The sequence below is a fragment of the Homo sapiens genome, chromosome 14, assembly GCF_000001405.40.
Source record: "Homo sapiens chromosome 14, GRCh38.p14 Primary Assembly".
In the NCBI taxonomy this organism is placed as follows: domain Eukaryota; kingdom Metazoa; phylum Chordata; class Mammalia; order Primates; family Hominidae; genus Homo; species Homo sapiens.
The window spans coordinates 102,718,923-102,742,565 of NC_000014.9; the positions used below are offsets into that span (position 1 = coordinate 102,718,923).

General features: G+C 47.7%; 1 protein-coding gene across 2 annotated transcripts in view, besides 2 other annotated features; it reads left to right on the forward strand.

The window, feature by feature from the left end:
• RCOR1 (REST corepressor 1) overlaps positions 1 to 11,639 on the forward strand; it is a 137,913-nt gene extending 126,274 nt beyond the window's left edge. Inside the window, exons 9-12 of one of the 2 annotated variants that reach the window (NM_015156.4) lie at positions 2,085 to 2,162; positions 2,398 to 2,455; positions 3,265 to 3,494; positions 7,546 to 11,639. In NM_015156.4, coding sequence (NP_055971.2) covers positions 2,085 to 2,162; positions 2,398 to 2,455; positions 3,265 to 3,494; positions 7,546 to 7,584 — 405 coding nt within the window. In that variant the 3' untranslated portion in view covers positions 7,585 to 11,639. Of the gene's footprint in view, positions 1 to 2,084; positions 2,163 to 2,397; positions 2,456 to 3,264; positions 3,495 to 7,545 lie in introns of those variants that run through there. The other variant, XM_047431148.1, reaches the window with a different exon arrangement.
• Positions 3,152 to 4,351: an enhancer, noted in NCBI's record as "MED14-independent group 3 enhancer chr14:103188411-103189610 (GRCh37/hg19 assembly coordinates)". NCBI's record gives its function as "activates an origin of replication core promoter dependent on BRD2, BRD4, P300/CBP and CDK7 cofactors, and independent of MED14, by STARR-seq in HCT116 cells {active_cell/tissue: HCT116}" and the evidence as "EXISTENCE:reporter gene assay evidence [ECO:0000049][PMID:35650434]".
• Positions 19,212 to 19,713: an enhancer, noted in NCBI's record as "H3K4me1 hESC enhancer chr14:103204471-103204972 (GRCh37/hg19 assembly coordinates)". NCBI's record gives its function as "activates a minimal SCP1, AML or CMV promoter by ChIP-STARR-seq in primed H9 embryonic stem cells {active_cell/tissue: H9 hESC(primed)}" and the evidence as "EXISTENCE:reporter gene assay evidence [ECO:0000049][PMID:30033119]".

Below are 23,643 nucleotides of genomic sequence, written 5' to 3' on the forward strand. Positions count from 1 at the left end.
GGACTGCAGGTGAGCACCACCACACCTGGCTAATTTTAAAATTTTTTTGGTAGAGACAGGGTCTTGCTGTGTCACCCAGGCTGTTCTTGAACTCCTGGGCTCAAATGATCCTTCCTGCCTTGGCCTCCCAAAGGGCTGTGATTACAGGTGTGAGCCACTGCACTAGCATAATTTTTTTTTGGCAGGGTCTGGCACTGTCACCCAGGCTGAAGTGCAGTGGTGCGATCTCGGCTCACTGCAACCCCTGCCTCCCAGACTCAAGCTATCCTCCCACCTCAGCCTCGCAAGTAGTTGGGACTACACAGCCTAGATATTTCTTCTTCTTCTTCTTCTTTTTTTAAAATTATACTTTAAGTTCTAGGGTACATGTGCACAACGTGCAGGTTTATTACATATGTATGCATGTGCCATGTTGGTGTGCTGCACCCACTTCGTCATTTACATTAGGTATATCTCCTAATGCTATCCCTCCCCACTCCCCCAACCCCACGACAGGCCCCGGTGTGTGATGTTTCCCCATCCTGTGTCCAAGTGTTCTCATTGTTCAATTCCCACCTATGAGTGAGAACATGCGGTGTTTGGTTTTCTGTCCTTGCGATAGTTTGCTCAGAATGATGGTTTCCAGCTTCATCCATGTCCTTACAAAGGACATAAACTCATCCTTTTTTATGGCTGCATAGTATTCCATGGTATATATGCAGCCTAGATATTTCTGATACGGAAAATGCATCAGGAAGAGGGGTATAGGCTACTGAGCATTTAGAGCTAGCTTTTAGTTCAGAATTTTAGATGTTTTGCATTTACTCTCTCTGCTTCTTTTATAACGTTACTTAATCACAGTGCAATATATACCCAGTTTTGTACTATCTATGAACAACCAGCTAGAGTGACAAGAGTGGTCTGTTTCACTGGAATGCGAAGAGGACATGTAATATTCTAAACCTTGACTTTTTCCTGCCAAAAGTTGCTATGTTGCATTTTTAGCCAAAAAGGAATCCAGTGAACATAATCTGAGTACTTTGCAATTTTCCTGGGTTTTCGGTAACTGAAAGACCACTGAGCAAGATCCTAAGAGATTGTAATGTCTAGCATGGCAGCCAGCAGCCCCATGTGTGGTTGTTTAAATTTAGATTAATTACAAGTGAAAAAAATTTAAAAATTTTCGGGTAGCATCTTCTACTCATGAATGTCTTTTACATTTTACTTGAGAAAATCAAGCTCCTCTTCCGTTGGCTTTCTTAGTTGCTTGTGTGATTATTCAAAGATGAAAAATGCTGGAGTTCAGAGTTCCCTGGTGCTTGACACGGATATGCCCTCTACTTGGAGTAGAGAGAAAATAGCATACTTCCGTGACCTGTCTCATTCAAGGGTCCATGGGAAAATTAAGGAGCAGCCATAGCCTGGGAGGTTGGTATTGTTTGTGGTCTTTCTTTCGACTGGGTAAGGACAGTGAAAGATTACCTTGAGCCAAGGCAGTAATGTGGAAAAAGATAATTTGTAGGAAAGTGAAGACGTGACAGTTAATCAAAGTTAGACTTCTGGAAATCTCACTGACATTGTGTTTTCCTCGCCCCCCCATCATTAAAGAAATCTATGCTTGTGCACTTCTGCCCTGTGTAGAAGCGGTGGACAGCACAGTGATCTTGGGGCGCTGTGAGGCTGCACCCGCAGTTCTGTTGTAAAGACTGGGCCTTTTTGGTCCTTACTGTGGCTGCTCTGTTACTTCAGTTCAATCCTATGTGGTAGTAAGCCCAGGGATTTCTTCTGTCTTTTATGTAAGACTCCAGGTAGGTGTTTTGCTGCTCAGGTATCACCTGTTAGGAAGCTGTGGATCCAGGACTGTGTACGTGAGAGCCCTCCGTCCCCTCCTCCTTGGGTTGTACCTTATCTGTTGCTCTGAACAAGCAAATAATAAACCTAGTTAGATGCTTCAAAGGATACCATAGGGATCTCAGAATTCAGCTACAACAGATGTTAGTAACGTCTTTACTCTTGGGTTTTTGTTTCTTTAGGTTTTTAAGTTCTGTTTTCATACCTTTATATAGTTTTTATTTTTAAAATGAAAATTATTTTTTCCTTCCTAGATCCAGAATATTAAACAGACAAACAGTGCTCTCAAAGAAAAACTTGATGGTGGAATAGAACCATATCGACTTCCAGAGGTAGGATTATGTTAACATCATCTTAGAAGTCATATTCAAGTTTTACATGTTTAAGAATTTAATATCGGTGTGATACATCCCCAGTATACATCTCTTGGAAGAGTATATGGACATAATTTTATGAACCCAGTTGATGTTAAAATTCCGATAAGAGAAAATGAAAGGTTCGTTAAGCTCATAAGGACATACTCATCTCTAAATGTAATGTGCTAAAATGACTCATTTGGATATCCAGGTCATTCAGAAATGTAATGCACGTTGGACTACAGAAGAGCAGCTTCTCGCCGTACAAGGTAGGGGGAAGTTCTTCTAAAGAGTTTAGGAGGCCGGCTGTGGTGGCTCACACCTGTAATCCCAACATTTTGGAAGGTTGACGCATTTGCTTGAGCCCAGGAGCTCAAGGCTGCATTGATCCATGATCACACCACTGCATTCCAGCCTGGACAACAGAGGGAGACCCTGACTTTAAAAAAAAAAAATTTTTTTTTTAATGGAAAAAAAAGAGCTTAGGAGCATTGGTAGATTTTAGGGAAAAGTTACGTCCTGCCCTACTCCCAGCACCTAGATTCTTGGACAATTATGTCCTAGTGGATATCATTTTAGCCAAATTACTGTATTCCTTTGGGCTTTTTTCTTTTCCTTTCCCACTTCTCACAAGTTGTAAAAACTTAACCGGGAACCCTGAGTCTTCTAAAGGTGTATTTCATTTTACTAGTTACTCATCGAGCTCTGACTAGCCAGGAAGTACAAAACCCCAAAAGAAGCAGACAGAGTGTTCAGCTTTAAAGGTTGGGGGTGCTCTGGACCTGCGATACCAAAAGATGAATGCAGAATGTCCCCAACCCTAGGGCAATTGCTGGGTGACTTCAGCTGTTATGTGACATGTAATGGGAAGACAGATATCAAAATGACAGGGTCGGTCATCTCCAGAATGTGTCTAGAATTGGCTGGTACTTTTTCCTACTCTAATAATACACGAAATTATTGCCTGCTGTTAAAAGCCTGTATGTTTTCTTATCTGGATAAAGAGGTAAGTGTCACTTGTGGTTTTAAAAAAATGTTTTTCTCTTGTATTTTAAAAAATGCTTTCTTACATCCTTAGCCATCAGGAAATATGGCCGAGATTTTCAGGCAATCTCAGACGTGATTGGGAACAAATCAGTGGTACAAGTGAAAAACTTTTTTGTAAATTATCGACGCCGCTTCAACATAGATGAAGTTTTACAAGAATGGGAGGCAGAACATGGTAAAGAAGAGACCAATGGGCCCAGTAACCAGAAGCCTGTGAAGTCCCCAGATAATTCCATTAAGATGCCCGAAGAGGAAGACGAGGTAAATCTGAAACAAAACAGTCACTTCTCTTGTCAGGTTCACGCTTGATACTCCAGTTTCTAAAGTGATGAATTTTTTCAGCTATAGAGATTTTTAGGTATCAGCTGTATTAGTAACTTCACTCTTACCTGTAAATAGCCGGAATGTGTATGCATTGACTCCAGTTCTTGGTGCCTGTATATTATTCACATGTTAATTTCTGGGCAAATCCTGAATTACATCCTGATTTCCTCCAGCTACAAAATACTCTGCATTATCAGTTTTTCCTTAAATACAGTAAAATCTTGAGTGACAAAGACAGGGGAGTGGGGGCATAAACAAAAAGTAAAAATGCAGTGAAAGCTGTCCTGTCTGTGAGGGATGTCGATGAAGCTCCGTCATCTGCAATGTGCAGTCACATCATCATGACGCAGCACAGCGAGCCAGCCAGGAGCTCCTGAGGCCTCTCCCTGCTGTCCAGATCTTTCAGCCTTTGATGCTCTTTGGGGCTGATTGGCTTAAGTATTGATGGGGACAGTTCTGTGGCTGGCTGGAACTTCTGTGATGGTGGCTAATTTCTGGAATGATAACCCTGGTCTCATCTGTCACCTCCCTGCTTCCTGTGTCAGGGGCACCTGCCATTTCCCCATCTAGCCTGGCCTGCCTTGCTGTTACATTTGTCCCTCTATTCCCAGAGCAGATGAGCCTGGGGCTGGGCATAAGAAAGAGTTACTTGCCAATCACTTTGCATCTGAATTTGTTCACAGGCATGGTAATTTAAGAATTAATTTAGCTTTGTAAGGAAAGTCACTTTCACATCAAAGCCTTTTCAAACCATACTGGAATGTTTTGAGATTACCTATTTTGTATTGCGTGTGCTACCATTTTGCTCCAAGGGCCTGGCTCTGGAAACAGCCCAGAAGGCCCCTCCTGACCTGAGCATGGAAGTACCTCGTGAGGTATTGGCATCCCCTGGGAGCGTGGTGCCGCCACTCCATGCAGGGCCTCTTTGCTGACTGGAGAAAGGACCTCAAGGCACAGCCATCTGTAAGAACACCATTGAAACATATTAAATTTGTTAGAATTAGATTCTTTAGAGCCTTTTGCCAGAAAATCTTTATAATAAGTGTACCACGTCTATAATATTGCCAAGGTCAGTACCCCTGAATCACCCCCATGCATAGCTCTGCCTGAAAAGAGCATGTGAATTAAATGATGGTGTTTTTATCTTTCAGCAGTGATTTTTTTCTTTATTATTATTTCTTTTTATTTTCAGTGATTTTTGTACCAGCACTAATTGCCCCTGTTAGCACTCAGTTTCGGAAGCATTGAAAAGCTGGAGACTGCTGGGGAAGAACCATTAGAATTTGCAGGAATGAAAGCTTGCTTCTTGTGTGTGTGTTTTCCGGCTTCGGTCCCAGGATGACTGGAAGCAGAAACAGTTGGGAACGCTGGCTCTATTCCCTCTTCGCATTTGATCAAAGCCAGTGTTGGCTGGGCTGGCATAACAAATCTCATAGTAAATTTAGGACCAAGAGTCCCTACCAACAGGATGTCAGTTGTTGTGCATATGTTTTTTTCTTCATTCTCTTATTCTTGGATCATTGGTTGACTGACTTAAGTGAGTCAAGTATTTTTTTTTTAACCTTGTTATTAGCCCAGAAGGTTCTTCCGTAATGATCCACTTACCGTGTGGATTGCATTATCAAAGTACCGTCTTTCTTTTCACAGTCTAGTTATGGCTCCTCCAAGCAGCAGATCATAGTTTTTCCTTGGTGATTGATCTTCCATGTCTCTATTTACCCAGCCTTCTCTGCAAAACAAAATGAAGAATGGTATTATCTAACTCGTGTTTAGTTTCATAGTCCTTATATCCCTTTACAAACTTTTTCACTCCGCTAGTCATTTAAAATGTACCCCCTCATACCTTTCTTTTCTTTTTTTTTTGAGACAGAGTCTCCCTCTGTCACCCAGGCTGGAGTGCAGTGGCTCAATCTCGGCTCACTGCAACCTCCATCTCCCAGGTTCAAGTGCTTCTCCTGCCTCAGCCCTCAGCCTCCCTAGTAGCTGGGATTATGGGTGTGCACCACCATGCTTGGCTAATTTTTGTATTTTTAGTAGAGATGGGGTTTCGGCATGTTGACCAGGCTGGTTTCAAAACTGCTGATCTCAAGTGATCCGCTCGCCTCTGCCTCCCAAAGTGCTGGGATTACAGGCATGAGCCACCGTGCCCGGCCTATTTCTTGAGTTTCTTTCTTTTTCTGCTTCTTGTAGTGCCACCCCTGCCCTGCCACCTAGTTTTATGTTCTCCATATGTTAGTTTGCAGAAGGAAATTAATCTAGTGACCAGCTGCTTCTCTGTGTCCAAGGGCCTAAGGGAACTTGTTAGAATGCTGGCTTACTTGTCTGTCTGGTGAGTCCACAGAACTTGGGGTGTGTGTAATTTCACCTTTTTATTTGTCCTGTAGAGTCCAACAGCTGAGAAAGATGTCTGCTGGTGTCTTGCCTGTCCCTTCTGCCCTCAGGTTTTATGTATTATGCAGAAGCCACAGGGAGAACATGAGAATTCCTAGAAGTTCTAGTAACAGAATGGTCTGTCAGTTATAGATTATTTCCTTCAGGGCTTAGAGGCAGGTAGGTAGCCCAAGGCATTTTGAGCTTTTGAAATTCATAGTTATTTGACGTGGACAAGGGTGGGTTGGGAACAGTGTCATATCCAACCTTACACTGAAGAAAGGATGCCATGGATTGGACAGAAAGATGTCACTTAAAATTATGAAATGATTAAGTCTGTTACCAGTGAGGAGAAATCTCCTCCTGTATCTAAGAACAGTTCTTGTACATGGTATGGTTTTTAGCTGAAGGAACAATCACTTTGCGATTTTGGATGCATGGCCCAGTTGTTTCTCCAGCAATGAGATGCCATGAGCATGGCAGAGAGCAGTAAGACGCTATGCAGCCTTTAGGTTTGGGTCTGGGAGTCCTTTTTAAAAAATGGGAGAGGGGAGTTAGGAAATGCCTCATAGCTTTTAAAGAAGATCCTGGGATCGTATGGGCTCCTGTATCCCAGCTAGAACCAGTGACTGGGTGCTGAACGGGCTGGGTGCCACAGCATGCCCTCAAGCCAGTGAGAGGAGTTAGGGCTGCCACTGTGCTTATATGCCCTTTTCAGGTTTTTTTGTTCATTTGTGTTTTTGAGACGGAGTCTTGTTCTGTTGCCCAGAGCAAGTGGAGTGCAGTGGTACGATCTTAGCTCACTGCAGCCTCCATCTCCCGAGCTCTTGATTCTCGTGCCTCAGCCTCCCAAGTAGCTGGGACTACAGGTGTGCGCCACCACGCACGGCCAATATTTCTTTTCAGTAGATAGGTTTTGCCTTTTTGGCCAGGCTGGTCTCGAATTCCTGACATCAAGTGATCCACCTGCCTCAGCCTCCCAAAGTGCTGGGATTACAGGCGTGAGCCACTGTGCCGGGCCGTTTTCAGGCACTTAAATTTAATCCTGGTGAAGTAGGTATTATCACTATGTGTCTTCTGCACATGAAGAAACTGAAACTCAAAAACACTGATAACTTCTTTGCACATATTGGGGTTTGAGGCCAAGACGTCTGGCTGGAGAGGCCACACGCTTGCCCTGCCCTTAAGAACATGGTGGGCTGGGCGTGGGGGCCCACACATGTAATCCCAGCACTTTGGGAGGCCGAGGCAGGCAGATCACGAGGTCAGGAGTTCGAGACCAGCCCGGCCAACATGGTGAAACCCCGTCTCTACTGAAGGTACAAAAATTAGCTGGGCGTGGAGGCAGGTGCCTGTAGTTGCGGCTACTTGAGAGGCTGAGGCAGAGGAATCGCTTGACCCAGGAGGCGGAGGTTGCAGCGAGCCGAGATAGCGCCACTGCACTCCAGCCTGGGAGACAGAGTGAGACCTGTCTCCCCTCCAAAAAAAAAAAAAAGAACTCGGTGTTTGCTCTGCAGGTTTGCTGGCTACCTTCTCTTTTCAGTACACTGGAAATAGCAGCTTGTGTTGTTTACCTACTCTTTGATCCTTTTTTTTTTTTTTTTCCTCTTGGCCTCAGGCTCCTGTTCTGGATGTCAGATATGCATCTGCCTCCTGAGAAACTGGTGGCTTTGAACACTTGGTGTGGACTACTGTGTTATCCGGGATATCAGGTATTATGAGACATCACCTAGCCATCTGCATCACATCTCTCTGGACAAGCAGCTATTACCAAAAAAGGCATATACTTCCAGTCCTGTGCTCCATCTGCCTTAATTCTTTGCTCGTTCCTCCATGTTGGCGCCACTTCCCAGAGAGCTCCACTGCATCTCACACTCTGCCCACGTGCTGGGGAAGTCTCACGGCCTGCACATCTCTTGTGACTCTGGGAACCGCCTCTCCCGCCGGAGCCCCCGAGCCCCACCAATGGCAGCTCTTCCCAGTCAGCAGCTTCAGAGCAGGCAGTCTCCTTGGAAGGCCCGACTCTGTTCCTGCATGGCCTGCAGTTTCTACTTTGTGCATAGAGTCATTTTCAGAGTCACCGCGACCCTGTTGGCCTTCTAGAAAGTTTCTTTTGTTCTTTTCTGAGACAACCACCTAAGTGATAATACGCTTTTTTGGAAACTAATATATATTGCCAGACTGCATCATAACCTTTATCATGCCAAGCATCCTGATGCAACTCACATTTCCCTAAACATGGGGTACAGTTATGATTTATAAATTGAGTTGGCTTAAATCTCCCTCTTCTCCCTTCCCAAGTGTTACAAAGATCATTTACTGCAACTGTCGTTGGACACTGTAGCTTAAAGGGAACGTGGACCTCAATGCTTTCTGCCTTCAACTTTTCAGCATTGTGACCCCAGGGTGGTTGCCACCCCATCTTTTCCTGACCCCCCCCACCCCCCCACCTCCAAGAGGTTCGGCCCACATCACTGTACCTGGTGCTTGTAAATTTGGAATTGGTGCCTTCTCCTTTTGGCAACCATGGTTATCAATCCTTTTTCTGTTTTAGTGTCTTATTTCTTCTTTCAAGTTATTTGCTAGCCAAAGATGACATCACTGAGATTAGGAGACAGGGGAGAGCTTGCTGCAGATTCTGACAGTGCAGATTTTAAATGTCAGGATATTAGAATAGCTGGCGCTGGTTTATGAAAGCTGCGCGTTGTTCCGCGTTCTCTCGGTGTGCCTGGCCTTTTATGTGGCACTCTGTATGTCAGTTTGTGTCCTTCATGTGCTGATGTGATTACACAAACACCATGCACTCTCTTTTCATATCAGAGTACAGGACAGAGAAGTGATCAATGTATTGGTCTAGTGAGACTGAGATGAAAAGAAATAACCTACAGAGTGGTCTGTAATGCCTTTTGGTTGGACTGGGAACAAGTAAAAATTTCTAATAAACATTTTGAGACTTCCAGAATCACTTTTGTTATCTTATCAGACCATGGGCCTGCTGAGGGTTGAGCAGACAGCCTGCATTCTAACATACCCTGTTCCCACCCCACGGCCATTCAGACTGCACTCAATACGCTGAAGTCGCTTTTGTTGTTGTTGTTGTTGTTTGCATCATTTGGATTTTTTTCCTGCTTTCAATACCAAAAAAATGCAGATGCTTTAAGGCCTAAACAGAATTCTGAAGAATTTAAAATATGCAATTAAAGTTTGATATGTTTTGTCTCCCAAGCACCTTGTTTTTTGTTGTTGTTGTTGTTGTTGAAGTCAGCTGATTTTCTCTTTAGAAAGAGGGTCAGCTAGAAACCTAGGTTTTTTGGAATTGTAAATTTTTTTTTAGTATAGTCTGGAGAGAAAGGTCATTCAAAAGGAAAGTACAATGGGACTTGCTGCCCTTCATCATCTCGTTCCCGTGCCAGGTGTGTGTTGGTCACGTAAAAGCCTGGGAAGCATCAGAGGAGTCCCGGATTGCTGCTGCTACCTGGAGACAGGGTTAGCAAAATAACACTAGTGATGAGGGAGAGGCTTCTTTTCACCATAAGCCTGCTGTGTACACCGAGGGCGGCAGGAGAAGCATGGGAAGGAGTCAGCCTAAGTTTGCACATTGCATAAAGGGTACACTAAGGTATGAGCTGAAGCTTTAGGTTCTCCGTGCTTCCCTCAAGACCTCCTTCTTGCTAACAGAAGCAGTAGGCAATTGCTGCAGTGCGTTTCTCACCCTGCCAATAGGTCTGTCTGTATCTCTGTTAAGGAAAATAGCCTGGTCCCTCCTGGCAGTGCTTGGAAGCTTGATGCTAATTTTTATATAGCGTGGCAAACTGACCAGCAGTGCCAGGCCTTGATCTGTATTCTGCACTATCCCTTTACTTGGTTCCTGGCACTGAATGGTCTCCAGCCCTGAAGAATCACGTGTGATCACAGCAGCTGACCTGGGCTTTCTCCCCGAGAGGAAGGGGCATGTCATTTTTATTTGACAGAGGGAAAATGGGAGCTGTCCTTGACTGCCTTTGTTGTGCTTTCCCGCGTAAGATAGCACTGTGTTTTAAACTGTTGCATTACACTGTCTTTGCAATGATGTAAATGTAAGAAATCACTTAGCTTTAAAAGCGCAGTGGTTTGATCTTATTTATATGAAGACTTTTTAACATATCAAGAATTAGGTGCATTGGCAGGTAGGGTTTGGGGTGTGATAACTGCTTCAGATGGAATGTTCACTTAAGCTTTGTCTTCTTAAAAATTATCAATGTGAATGTCATAATTATATATATTTTTGTGGAAAATTTTCTCCTAAGTATAAGTTATTGTGCAAAATATAGTGTCATTGATGCAAATAATAGTTTAACTTTTAGTTTAGAACTCCTAAAAGATATAAATTGTATTGCATATGCATTAAAAGTTTGTTTTATTTAATTTTATGTAGATGTGTGAAGTGTTAGGTAAAATTTTTTTCACTTATCCATTTAAACACCTTGTTACTTGAATATTGTGTTGACTGGTCTGCAACAGTGATCCATTCTGTAATATAGCTCTTTTAACTGGGAAGGAACCACACCCCAGTTGTGCCGATTACATTAGTGTTGGCACACAGTCGGGTGCTAGTGTAACACAAATGCCGCGTTGTCTGGGTGTACAGTGTTTGTGGAGACGCCACTTCCTCAAAATGGTTTTTGATTGTTTTTAACCTATAAGACGTTCTGATGCTCACAAACCTCTATTCAACACACAAAACAAACATGAAAAGGTAGTTAGTTGGGTTGTAACAGCTTACTGGGGTGGACTCATAAAACAGTGGCTTTCTGTTCATCTAAAGTTTCCTCAGATACCACAGACCACTGTTAAGTGTGCTCATTGTCACTTTAAATTTCAACGATACCCTATTTTTGTCATTCTAAATATCAGATGTACTATTGGTATAATTGCACACCAAAAATAAGCCAAACAGTGCATTACGCTAACTGGATCCCTGCTTTTATGTGAGCTAAGGAAAGATGGAGCCAACTCCAACGAGGGCCTCTTTTTCTCTCTTGTCTAGCCTGTTTCTAAACCGAATGATCCAGGATTCAAGCTTCTATTGTCAAGTGAAACTTTCCTCAGATGGACTCCAGGTAGCCAGGTCACCTAAACCTAGTGGTCCTGTGCGATGCTCTTTCTGCCAGTCCCTGAATCTCTGCAGCTTCTCTTACCTGTCTTACCTGTAGTAAAGCACAATTGCAGTGGCGTCGCATTCAGAAGAAGGGAAGGTCAGCAGAGGCTATGCATGTTGTGTGATGATGAGTGTTTACAGCCACCTTCTCCTAAAACGAAATTTATACCGGGGTGGATAGTATTCCATTAGGTAGACTTATCGACTTTGCTAAGTGCTTTTTAGACAGCTTAAAAAATTTTCAAGATTTTAAAAGATGTATAAGGTTAAGTTTGCAAATATAATGGAAATGCTGTATATCTTTTGAAGTGATGAAATCCACGTTGGAATTTTAAAGAAAATATGTTGTAATAATGCTGTTGTAAGTAATATTTTAATGTCTCTTTGCCTGTTTTCTATTTCAGCACATTCATTGTGGTGAATGTTCATAGCATTATAACTGCTTAGCCATTGAATGATAACATTTGTTAGTGGAAATTGGAAAATTTATTTGTGAAATTCTGCAGAATTCATTTTTCTATTTCCAATATTTGCTGAGGTTAAATAAAAATTTTCAAGCCATTGATGTAATAAAATATGAAATGAAAGCATTTTCTGCACCCCCACGCTCCATCAAAGCAGTACCCTTCCCTGTAACAAAGTGGGGTTCTTTCTTTCCTTTTAAGTGAGGCTTGGGGTTTCCAAATGTTGAATTTCTTCCAAATCAGACCCTGTGGAAACACTGCCAGGGATGCCTTTTGTTTTTAGCCTTTTGCTCTACCTGAACTGACATTCTTTTTTATATATGATAATTTTATAGTTGGAATCAAGTTGAAGCACATGAATTCATAAAGTTTGTGATAGTTGTGGGTTTAAATGCAAGGGTTCAGTAAGAGGCATTTTTCCCCCCATGGGTGGATTTTCTTTTTTCAGCCTGACCAGGCTTTTGGCCTGATACCTGGAGGCAGGATGGTGGCAGTGCAGAGGCAAGATCACTGCCGCTGTGGCCTCTGCTCAGCCAAGAGTGCATGCACACCAGTGCCGGTAGTTTCCTGAGTAGCGTGAAGAAGCTGGCGGTGGCTGTGGTCTCATGGTCTTCCCTTTATTAGCTGGGATGTAGAATTTGATTAGATGACTACTGTAGATTGGGGCTAGAAGTCCAGTGCACTATCCATTGTGCCACTGAGCTTGCTCACTAGATAACTTCTATAGAAACCCAATTTCTAGGTCCAGGCAGATGGGGCCCCTGTGTGTGACTGCACAGTGTAGGAGGGTTGTAGAAGGGTGACCGGGTCCAGCCTTCCCAGCGTGGACAGTCTAGTGGAGGACACTGCACATATCCTCCAGGTGACAGCAGTCAGCACCACGGCGAGTGGAGCCACAGCTACAGGCAGGTCTGGGAGGGAGGCTGCAGCTGCCTCGCATCTAATTTAGAGAGTGCCTGTCCCGGAGCTGAGCCTGTGGAAAGGGGAGAGGGTCTGCTTGGGTGAGGGTGGCACCTAGGGGCCGAGGCCAAGAGTGTTGGGACCTCCGCTGTGATTTGTGAAGGTGGCTTGTGGTCTAGAACAAGAGGAAATGAGTGCCAAGGACAGAGAGGAGGAAGGTTGAGGCCAAGGTGGCCCCCTGCCAAGATGCTGCTGGACATCTGCTAGGTTGGGCACTGAAGGTGGAGCCATTTGGACTTGGCCTTTAGTGACTTCAAAGAACCCCGGGCGATGGCTGAGGCTGGGAAGAGGGAGCTATGGAGGGTTGAGGGAGAGCCCCTCTCAAAGACTGGCCTAACTTGAGCGCGTGCAAGGGCACAGGATAGGAAGGGATAGCAGGCGGGCTGTGAGTCCCGAGTCAGACACATGGAGGCCCTGGCTCCAGCTCCCTTTTCTCGGACTGAGGGGGAAAAAAACACCTGTATACAGGTGTAGATGAGGCGCCTCTGTGCCTCACTTCCCATCATCTTGGCCCTCCCCACAACCCCGGCTTCAGACAGGTGTGACTGCAGCACCCTGAGGTAGGTGACCTAGGGGAGCTCAGGAACAGCAGCCTGGAAGTAGCAGGGAGCTCCATCCCCAGGGGCAGCTCTGGGTAATCTGGGTAAGGCAGCCATAGACAGCAGCTCCCCCTCAGCGGCCCCCTGCAGAGACCAGCTCAGAAATGGTCTAGGACTGATTCTCCTTCCCTGCCTCACTTTTTCTGGCCCCCTACTTCTGTTGCCTGGGATTGGTTTCTAAAGCAAACCATTTACCCACAAAGCCTCATCTCAGGCTCTGCTTTTGCGGGGAATCTAGGCCAAGACAGCACCACAGTGAGAATTACAAGGCTCGGGAGAGGCCTGGTGAGGTCCCTGCCAGGCCTGTCCCAGCCTTTCAGCTTATGGGAGGGAGAGATCTTGAGAGCACTTGGTGCTGACACTGCTGGAAAGGCCATAGTACCCACGCCCAACGGGGAGCAGCTGCACTGCTTGGAGGCAGGTGCTGGCTCTCAGAAGCTCCCTTCCCTGCAGCTCCCAAGCACCGTGCTTCCCACGCGCCAAGCACATGCTAGGCACTGACTCTTGGAGCTGACAGGTATTTGAGGCTCTATGCAAATTGCTTGCCTTCTCGACAGATCAGAGGCCATGCCTGGGGCATCATTTGGGCCCAGACTAGCTCATGGATGACCCTGACTTATTCTTTGTTTTGGGGTCTTTTTTTTTTTTTTTTTGAGATTGAATCTTGCTCTGTTGCCCAGGCTGGAGTGCAGTGGCATGATCTCCTCTCTGCAGCAGCCACCTCCCGGGTTCAAGCAATTCTCCTGCCCCAGCCTCCTGAGTAGCTGGGATTACAGGTGCGCACCACCATGCCCAGCTAATTTTTGTATTTTTAGTAGAGATGGGGTTTCACTGGGTTGGCCAGGCTGGTCTCGAACTCCTGACCTCATGTGATCCCCCCACCTTGGCTTCCCAAAGTGTTGGGATTACAGGTGTGAGCCACCACGCCCAGCCGATCCTTTGGTTCTGGGCTGAATGGAACCCACCCCCCAAGAGAGCCCCCCAAGTACACTTTCCTGTTGTCCCAGAAGCAGGAGCACAGTCACAGGCCTTGAAGCATCCGCTTGCCTGCCCGCTCTGCCAGCTCACCCTCCCTTCACCGTTTCCCAACTGCCTGGGTGCTCCGTCAGCACCTGAGGACTCCACAGCGCTCACACCTAAAGCCCTGTTCCCAGAGCTCAGCTGCCCCTGGACCACTCCACCCCCATGCCCATCCGTGCCTCCAAATTACACAAAGTCTGAGACTAAAACCCTTTTCCCCGGCACCTGTTTCTGCATCTTCTGTGGTGTGTGACACTGCTGTGTATCTGGTCGCCAAGTTAGAAGCACTTTGATCGATCACTACTGCCAGGGACAGCACAAGTCCTTCTTCCCACCCGAGGGGGTGCCGCGGCCTCCTAACTAACCTGCCCCTAATCCCCACCATTCCTCTTGCCTTTTCTCTCCCACCCCCCACCTAATCAGGGACCTCTCCTGTGGAAAGCGGAAAGCATTGCATCTGTCTCCCAGAAAATGCACAGCCCTTCATTCTGCCCTAACCTGACTTCAGGGGTGCGGCCAGGCACCTTCCCTTCAGCTCGGCCTGCCCCGGGCCCAGTCATGCGTCCCCGTCCGTCTCTGGTCCTGACGAACCCCTTCCTCCACCTTCTGCAGGGGGACTGATTCTTGGGGCCTCTACAACTTAAGCCTCATTCTGTGCTGACCTCTTTGTGCTAACTGTAATGAAGTGATTTTAAATTTTTATTTTAGAAATAGTTAACTAGCGTTCCTGGTATAAAAGGCCTACGTGAAGTGTGAGTTTCTCATCCCTGTCCTCTGATCACCTAGTTCTCTCCATAGGCGGCCATTGCTGCCAGTTCCTTGCATATCCCTCAAGGGATGATCACACATTTGCGGGCATGCATGTGTGCACACAAATGACATACTCTACACACTAGCTTTGCCCACCTGACACACTGATAGTCTTCTTAGCCTTCCTGCATCAGCACATATGTCTAAAGTCACTGTGGGCCGGGCGCAGTGGCTCACGCCTGTAATCCCAACACTTTGGGAGGCCAAGGCGGGTGGATTACCTGAGGTCAGGAGTTTGAGACCAGCCTGGCCAACATGGTAAAACCCCATCTCTACTAAAAATACAAAAAAAAATCGCTGGGCATGGTGGTGCACACCTGTAATCCCAGCCACTCGAGAGGCTGAGGCAGGAGAATCACTTGAACCCAGGATGTGGAGGTTGCAGTGAGCCGAGATCGCGCCACTGCACTCCAGCCTGAGTGACAGAGTGAGACTGTGCCTCAAAAAATAAAAAATAAAGCTGCTTCATTCCTTTGTATTGGCTTCATGGTATTCCATTTATGGCGGAAATGATTTATGGAAACCATCGTCAATTGACAGGCACAGAAGTATCCTTTGTAACATCAGCAGAATGGAAATCACGTCACTTCACCTATGTGCCAGTGTAGTTGCAGGATAAATAGAATCTCTGGATGAAAAGATCTGGTTCATTTTTCCATTTGATACGTACTGCTCACTGGCCTTCCAGAGCAGTTGCATCAGTTTCTCCTGTCTGCGTGAACAAGGCCGCTTGTTGCCCCACGCCCTTGCTAACGCTGTGATAATTGCACATTTTGATCTGAGGTGTTTGATAAGCTGTCGGGCTCTCTAGATTGAGCTCCTTGAGGTCAGCACTGTTGTGCTCTAGTTCCCCACAGCTGGGAATAATAGGCACATAGATGTGTAGTAACGGAATAGAGAAATCGGGTGCATTGCGGAGGAAAAATAAACGCCTGCTGGCCCCGTGCTTACGGATCAAAGGCCCTGCCATGGCTTATGAGTGACTCCCAGGGAGTGGGATTCCCAGCTGCCAATTCCTGGGTGTCCAGAGAGGAATTAGCTGAGGCTTAGGGTTTTCTGGGCCTTTTTCTTGTTTATTGAGCTGTCTGCTACTTAGGTATTTATTGCCAAAGGACTAGGGGAAGAAACATTCAAATCTGAAGGCCTGGTGATTGTAGATTTTTTTTTTTTTGAAACAGGGTCTTGCTCTGTCGCCCAGGCTGGAGTGCAGTGGTGGGAGCTTGGCGCATTAGAACCTGCACCTCCCAAGTTCAAGTGATTCTCATGCCTCAGCCTCCCAAGTAGCTGGGACTACAGGCATGCATGCACCACCACGCCCAGTTAACTGTTTTTGTTTTTGTTTTGAGACAGAGTCTCACTTTGTTGCCCAGGCTGGAGTGCAGTGGCGTCATCTTGGGTCACTGCAACCTCCACCTCCCAGGTTCAAGTGATTCTCCTGCCTCAGCCTCCCGAGTAGCTGGGACTATAGGCGAGTGCCGCCACACCTGGCTAATTTTGTATTTTTAGTAGAGACGGGGTTTCTCCATGCTGCCCAGGCTAGTCTTGAACTCCTGACCTCAAGTGATCCACCCACCTCAGCCTCCCAAAGGGTTGAGATTATAGGCGTAAGCCACTGCACCTGGCTGTAGATTTTAAATGAGATTGAATTCCGGATTCTAAGTCCTCCCCCTCCCTCCATTCCTTGGTGCCCTTCTTACCATCCACGCTCCTTAATGGGGAGTTGGCTGGCTGATACATGTGAGGAGATTGGCCAAGTTCTGGCCTGGACAAGCTGAAGACACCTTCCTGCCAAGATGGGGCAGGTAGTGCTTCTCACAACTACACTGGAAGCAGGAAGGGATGGTCCCACCTGCGCAGTCATGGGGAAGGCATCCGGGAGGAAGGGACAGTTGAATAAGGACAGCGGCTCGCCCGGGCAAGGGTGAGTGGCAGCACAGGAGGAACTGGCCCCTTGCAGTCAAGTAGGCTGTTTCCTTGTCAATGGAGGGTATTAGAATTTTGTGTGGTTCAGGCCAGGTGCAGTGGCTCACGCCTGTAATCCCAGCACTTTGGGAGGCTGAGGCGGGTGGATCATGAGGTCTGGAGATCGAGACCATCCTGGCTAACACGGTGAAACCCCATCTGTAGTGGCGGGCGCCTGTAGTCCCAGCTACTCGGGAGGCTGAGGCAGGAGAATGGCGTGCCAAGTTGCTACTACTCCGAAGTAGCTGGGTTTACAGGCGCGCCCCTGCACTCCAGCCTGGGCGACAGTAGGACCCTGTCTCAAAAAACTAAATAAATATATAAATAATTTTAAGTGTGTCTTTTGCTATATAGCAAATTATTTATGTTTTTTAGTAATAATTGCTAGATTTATTGGTGACTGCTTTGCCCCTAAGGACCAAGCATGCATTTCATAATTTAATCTTTATGTTAACCTCACAAGTAGGGACTGTCATTATCTCTGTTCTATAGAAGAGGAAGCCAAGACTTAGAGAAACGTGTCTTGCCCACATCATGCAACTAGCAAGTGCCAGAGCTGGGCCAGAAGCACCTAAAACCGTAGCCCACCTTACAGCCTCTGTCACTCTCTCGGATGCTGACTCAAGCCCTCACTCCACTGTGAAATCTTCTTGATCTCATTCACGCCCTTAACTTCTCTAGGCCTGTCTCCTCACATGCAGAGAAAGGATAATGGGCATTTCTTTTTTCTTTTTCATTATTTCTGCCTCCAGAGATAGCAATTTTTTTTTTTTTGAGACAGAGTCTCTGTTGCCAGGCTGGCGTGCAATGGCGTGATCTCGGCTCACTGCAACCTCTGCCTCCCGAGTTCAAGCGATTCTCCTGCCTCAGCCTCCCGAGTAGCTGGGACCACTGGCACGCGCCACCACACCCAGCTAATTTTTGTAATTTTAGTAGAGACAGGGTTTCACCATGTTGGCCAGGATGGTCTCAATCTCTTGACCTCGTGATCCGCCCGCCTTGGCCTCCCAAAATACTGGGATTACAGGTGTGAGCCACGACGCCCTGCCTGTGTGTATTCATTTATAAACTTACTTACAGGCACTGTTCATAACCAGTTTGTTCAACATCGGTCACACTAACACGCCGTTTTCCTCGTGCACCCACGATTCTAGGCCCAGGCCATTGCTGTCCTGAGGCTGGGATGACTATGTGCTGTCAGGCTCCCACTTCTCAGAGTGGGGAACTGAGGCCAGAGAGTCAAAGTGACTTGCCCAGGGTCACTCAGCTCCTACACGGAGGCATGGGCTGGGGACCCAGGTGGACTGGCTTTGAAACAGAACTCCTCCACTGAGCTTGGCTTCCAGGGTCACTGGTAAGTGGAGGGAAGGTAGACCCCTTCAGCTGGGCTACAGCCCATAGCTGAGCCTGTCCTGAACCTCCCCACAGCCAGCTACAGCGACTACAGCCCCTTGGGTCTTGGGTCACAGACCCTAAGGACCACTGCAGGGATGTCCTCTTGATGGGACTGGCTGTGGGGTGCCCCACTGGCGAACATCCCTTATAAGCCTGGATTTCGTCTCATCGCAGGGGTACAGTAGGTGTGCTTCAGCTTTCCTGCTTCTAGCAGAGAGCACCTTACCCAAATCCTGGGTGGTTGCCAGGGCCGACCCAAACTGGAAGCCAGCCCTCTGCAGCTATGCCCTGGTCATTACCCCTCCGTCTCCTCCACCTTTCCACCCACAGCCCCAGGCTGTCTCAAGTGGACCCATTGGCCCTTGAGCTTTTTCAGGCCCTTGTTGACACGCTGCGTAGCCATTGAGATCGACCCCACCGGCCTCTTCCTTCCTGGAGTGTGAGTCTGGGCTCCTCTGCAGCCCTGGGCCACTGAGTCAAAGACCTCATGGGTGCCCACGGAGTACTGGCCATCAGTGCCATGAGGCCAGGGCCTGCAGCACCGAGTCGAAGACCTCGTGGGTGCCCACAGAGTGGTGGCCCACTCAGCACTGCAGGCTGAGTGTACCACTACACAGCCTCCACAGCAGGATTCTGCCCTTGCCCGGCCCTGATTGCAGGAGCGGCTCTAATGACCGCTGCACCCTGATCACCTTTCTCAGAAAGACTGTTACAGTCCTGGTCCCCAGGAATCATGCCTCCAAGTGTCCTTGCCTAGTGTCGTCCCTTTACCCACCAACTCTGGGCTGGGTCATGGACTTGTTTTGATCAATGGAACCTTCACAGGCTTGACATGAGCTTTAGGGCCTGCCTGCTCTTGTTTCTGAAAACTCTGTTACCCTGTAAAGAAGCTTGGGACAGCCTGCTGGAGACAGGTGGTCAGGCTGACAGCCACCACAAACCACCAAACCTGTGTGTGAAGCCATCTGAAGCCAGAAGGCCCTGATGGAGCACCCAGGAGACCACACGAGTGACCCAGGCAAGCCCCGTTCCAACTATTCACCCACAAGATGCGAGCAAGTAAAATGGCCTGTGTTTTCAGCCAAGTTCTGGAGCAATTTGCCACGGCAATAGGTAACTGAGATGGTTGGAGAGGAGTGGGACTCAGGGAATTTGTGGCAAATTTCAGGCTGCAGAAAAGGCTGGGCTCCCAGACTTCAGAGTCCTTGGGTGTGTGCAGGCACAGCCCGCAGTGGCAGGCCACAGATGCCTTCGTGGAGGATGCCAGAGCCTGCCTGGTGAGCACATGGGTGAGTGTGAGCTCCTACCTCAGAGGCTGGGATGCCACCTCCTCTGCCTCTCTGGGGCTGAAGGCACAGGGCTCCCAGTGCAACACCTTCCTATAGAGAACCTGGCAGCTCCTTGGAGCCTCACCTATGAGATCCTGAGCCAAGCCTCAGGACCCCTGCACGGAGTGGACTGAACACATTTAGTTGGGGGTGTACGTGGCTGCCAGGCCTTTCTTGGTAGCTGTCCTCTCCACGGCCCTCCAGGCTGCTGAGCCTCGGTCCTCTTGGTTGAATGCCTTGTTCATGAAGGAGATTCAGAATTGAAATGTGTTCCCCGCTCCCCACCCCTCATTCCTCTGGCCACATCCTCCTGGCCTTCCTGCCCCAGCCTACATTGGGCTGCAGCACCTTCCAGCTCTGTGAAGCTGAATCTTGCCTGGCTAGGAATCAGGGGCTTGGATTCTGTCCCTGAATCACTGTGCTGTGAGACAAGCCCCTCCCGCCCCTGGTGTTCTGTTTCTCCATTTGAGTGGGGCCGGCAAGAGCCAGGTACATGCCCTATCCCTTTGGATGCCCTGGTGAGGAGGTGGCCACTCAGCTGCCTCCCCAACCAAATGGCCGGTAGATCCACAGCTGCCTCCCACATCAGTTGAACTGGGATGGGGTGCGGGGCATATGGGGCTGGGGGAGGTTCCCAGCCTTTCTGGGAGTAGCCAGTAAGGACCGTGTCCCTGCAGGCCTGTCCCAGCAAAGTGCCCGGAGCTGCATGCTCTGCACAGCCCTTAGGCTTTCCTGGGACCCAGCAGGGTGGGGCGGGGATGCCTTGGGGGCAGCCAGCCTGAGGCAGGTTCCAAACCCTGCTCTGCAATGTGAGTCCTTCCAGTTGTTGAGTCCCTTCTTGGTAAAAGGAAATCGTGCCTTTGAGGCATTTGTCAGCAAAAGCATTTCTTGAGCCCCTGCAATGTAGCTTTGGGCAGGTGATGAGCAAGACAGACAGGGTTCCAGCCCTGAAGGACCCTGAATTCCAGTCGGGAGACAGAGAAATGGAAACATCCACACAGGGAGGGTAGCAGCAGGTTTCCTATGATTGGATTAGTTGGCTGAACTGTGCCACCATTCAAGCCTGGGGTGCTGGGATGGGCCAGGAGGTAACCCCAGGCCTCACCCCACCCTAGCCCAGAGACTCCCTCCCTGTGTAGAGTCCAGGAAGGCTTTGTCGGTGATTGATCTGACTTCCAGAGATGCCGAGCCCACCCTGCTAGGGGTCGTGATTCATCCGTGAGCCAAGTTTTACCACTCAGTGGTGGTCCAAGGCTTTCAACAGTGGGAAGGTAGGCCCTGGATGTGCCACATGAAGGCAGAGGCTGGCAGGGGCACTGTGACCTGCACCTTTCCACCTCCCCGCCCCAAAGCTGGATCGTGGTCTCTGAATGCCATTTCCCACGGAAAGGAACCATGTTCTTTGGAGAAGTGACTGGATTTCGCTATGGGAGGAAGGAAGTATACAAGGGGAGCCTGGGAATCTGATGCCAGAGATCAAAGAAGCACCCAAAATGATGGGGTCACGTCCGAGGGACTTGGGAGCCAAACTAAAGGACCTCCTACTGGCCTAACATGCCATTAAAAAAAAGGACATTGATCAAAACAGTAAAGATAAGAATACAAAAATTAATAATGATAGGTTTTTAAAAAATTTTTTTTTTCTTTTGAGATGGAGTCTCACTCTATCGCCAGGCTGGAGTGCAGTGGTGTGATCTCAGCTCACTGCAACCTCTGCCTCCCGGGTTCATGCCATTCTCCTGCCTCAGCCTCCTGAGTAGCTGGGACTACAGGTGCCCACCACACACCTGGCTAATTTTTGTATTTTTAGTAGAGATGGGGTTTCACCATGTTGGCCAGAATGGTCTCAGTCTCTTGACCTCGTGATCCACCCGCCTTGGTCTCCCAGAGTGCTGGGATTATAGGCGTGAACCACCCGCACCCAGACTAAAGTTTCATTTGAGACAGGGTCTCACTGTGGCCCAGGCTGGAGTGCAGTGGTGCGATCATGGTTCACTACAGCCTCGACCTCCCGGCTCAAGTGATCCTCCCACTTCAGTTCCCCTGCTAACCCGCCTACGAGTAGCTGGAAGTACAGGCACATGCCACTGTGACTGGCTAATTTTTAAATTTTTTGTGTGTGAGACAAGGTCTTGCTTTGTTGCCCAGGTTGGAGTGCAGTGGTGTAATCACGGTTCTCTGCAGCCTCAACCTCCTGGGCTCAAGCAGTCCTCCCACCTCTGCCTCCCAAGTAGCTGAGACTTACAGGCACAAATCACACCTGGCTAATTTTTTTTCTTTTAATTTTTTTTTGTAGAGACAGGATTTTGCCATGTTGTCCAGGCTGGTCTCGAACTCCTGAGCTCAAGAGTGCAGTGGCACAATCTCTGCTCACTGCAACCTCCATCTCCTGGGTTCAAGTGATTCTCCCACCGCAGCCTCCCAAGTAGCTGGGATTACAGGCATAAGCCACCGCGCCTGGCCAGCCCAGCTAAATTTTCAACTTTTTTTTGTAGAGACAGGGTCTTGCTACGTTGCCAGGGCTAGTCTGAAACTCCTGGCCTCAAGTCGTCCTCCCACCTTGGCCTCCCAAAGTGCTGGCAGTACAGGTATGAGTCACTGTGCCTGGCCCAAGAACTTAAGTACTTTTTTCAGTGCATGTCTGCTGTTGCTAAATTCTTTCCTTTAAAAAAAAAATCTGGCTGGGTGCAGTGGCTCACGTCTGTAATCCCAGCACTTTGGGAGGCTAGAGCAGATGGATCACCTGAGGTCAGGAGTTTGAGACCAGCCTGGCCAACATGGTGAAACCCCATCTCTACTAAAAATATAAAAATTAGCCAGGCATGGTGGCAGGTGCCTGTAATCCCAGATACTCAGGAAACTGAGGCAGAGGAATTGCTTGAACCCGGGAGGCGGAGGTTGCAGTGAGCAGAGATTGCACCATTGCACTCCAGCGTAGGCAACAGAGCAAGACTCCATCTCAAAAAAAAAAGCCAAAAAAAAAAAAACTAAAGTCATCATTATTTTGCATTTATATTTGATAGATGTAAAATATAAATTTTCTGTTTGTAAAATATTAGGGTTTTATTTTTGTCTTCTGGCACATTAAGGATGTAATTCCATTGTCTTCTAGCTTCCATAGTTTTAAGCAAAAGTCAACACACAACCATTTTACTTCTCTGAAAATAACATTACTTTTTTTTTTTTTTTTTTTTTTCTGAGACAGAGTCTCGCTCTGTCTCCCAGGCTGGAGTGCCGTGGTGCAATCTCAGCTCACTGCAAACTCTACCTCCTGAGTTCAAGCAATTCTCCTGCCTCAGCCTCCTAAGTAGCTGGGATTACAGGCATGCACCACCACACCCAGCTAATTTTTGTATTTTTAGTAGAGGTGGGGTTTCACTGTGTTGGTCAGGCTCGTCTCAAACTCCTGACCTCGTGATCCACCTGCCTTGGCCTCCCAAAGTGCTGGGATTACAGGCGTGAGCCACCGCGCCCAGCCAACATTCCTTTTTTCTCTGGCTGTTTTAAATTTTTTTTCTTTGTCTAGGGCTTTCATCTAGTTGATGATGATTGCCTGGATGTGGCTTTGCATTTGTTCTGCTTCATTATGCTCCTGGGGGGTTCACTGAGCTGCTCAACTCTGTGAGTTGGTGCCTTTCATTTATTATTATTATATTTTAGAGAGATAGGGTCTTGCTTCATCACCCAGACTGGAGGGCAGTGGCACAATCAGGGCTCACTGCAGCCTTGATCTCCTGGGCTCAAGTGATCCTCCCATCTCAGCCTCCCAAGTAGCTGGGGCTAGAGGCACGTGCCACCATGCTCAGCAAATTTTAAATTTTTTGTAGAGACAGTGTTTCACCATGTTGCTCAGGCTGGTGTTGAACTCCTGGGCTCAAGAGATCCACCTGCCTTGACCTCCCAAAGTTCTGGGATTACAGGCATGAGTCGCTGCATCCAGCTGAGTTGATATATTTATTTATTTATTTTGAGATGGAATCTCACTCTGTTGCCCAGGCTGGAGTGCAATGGCATGATCTTGGCTCACTGCAACCTCCGCCC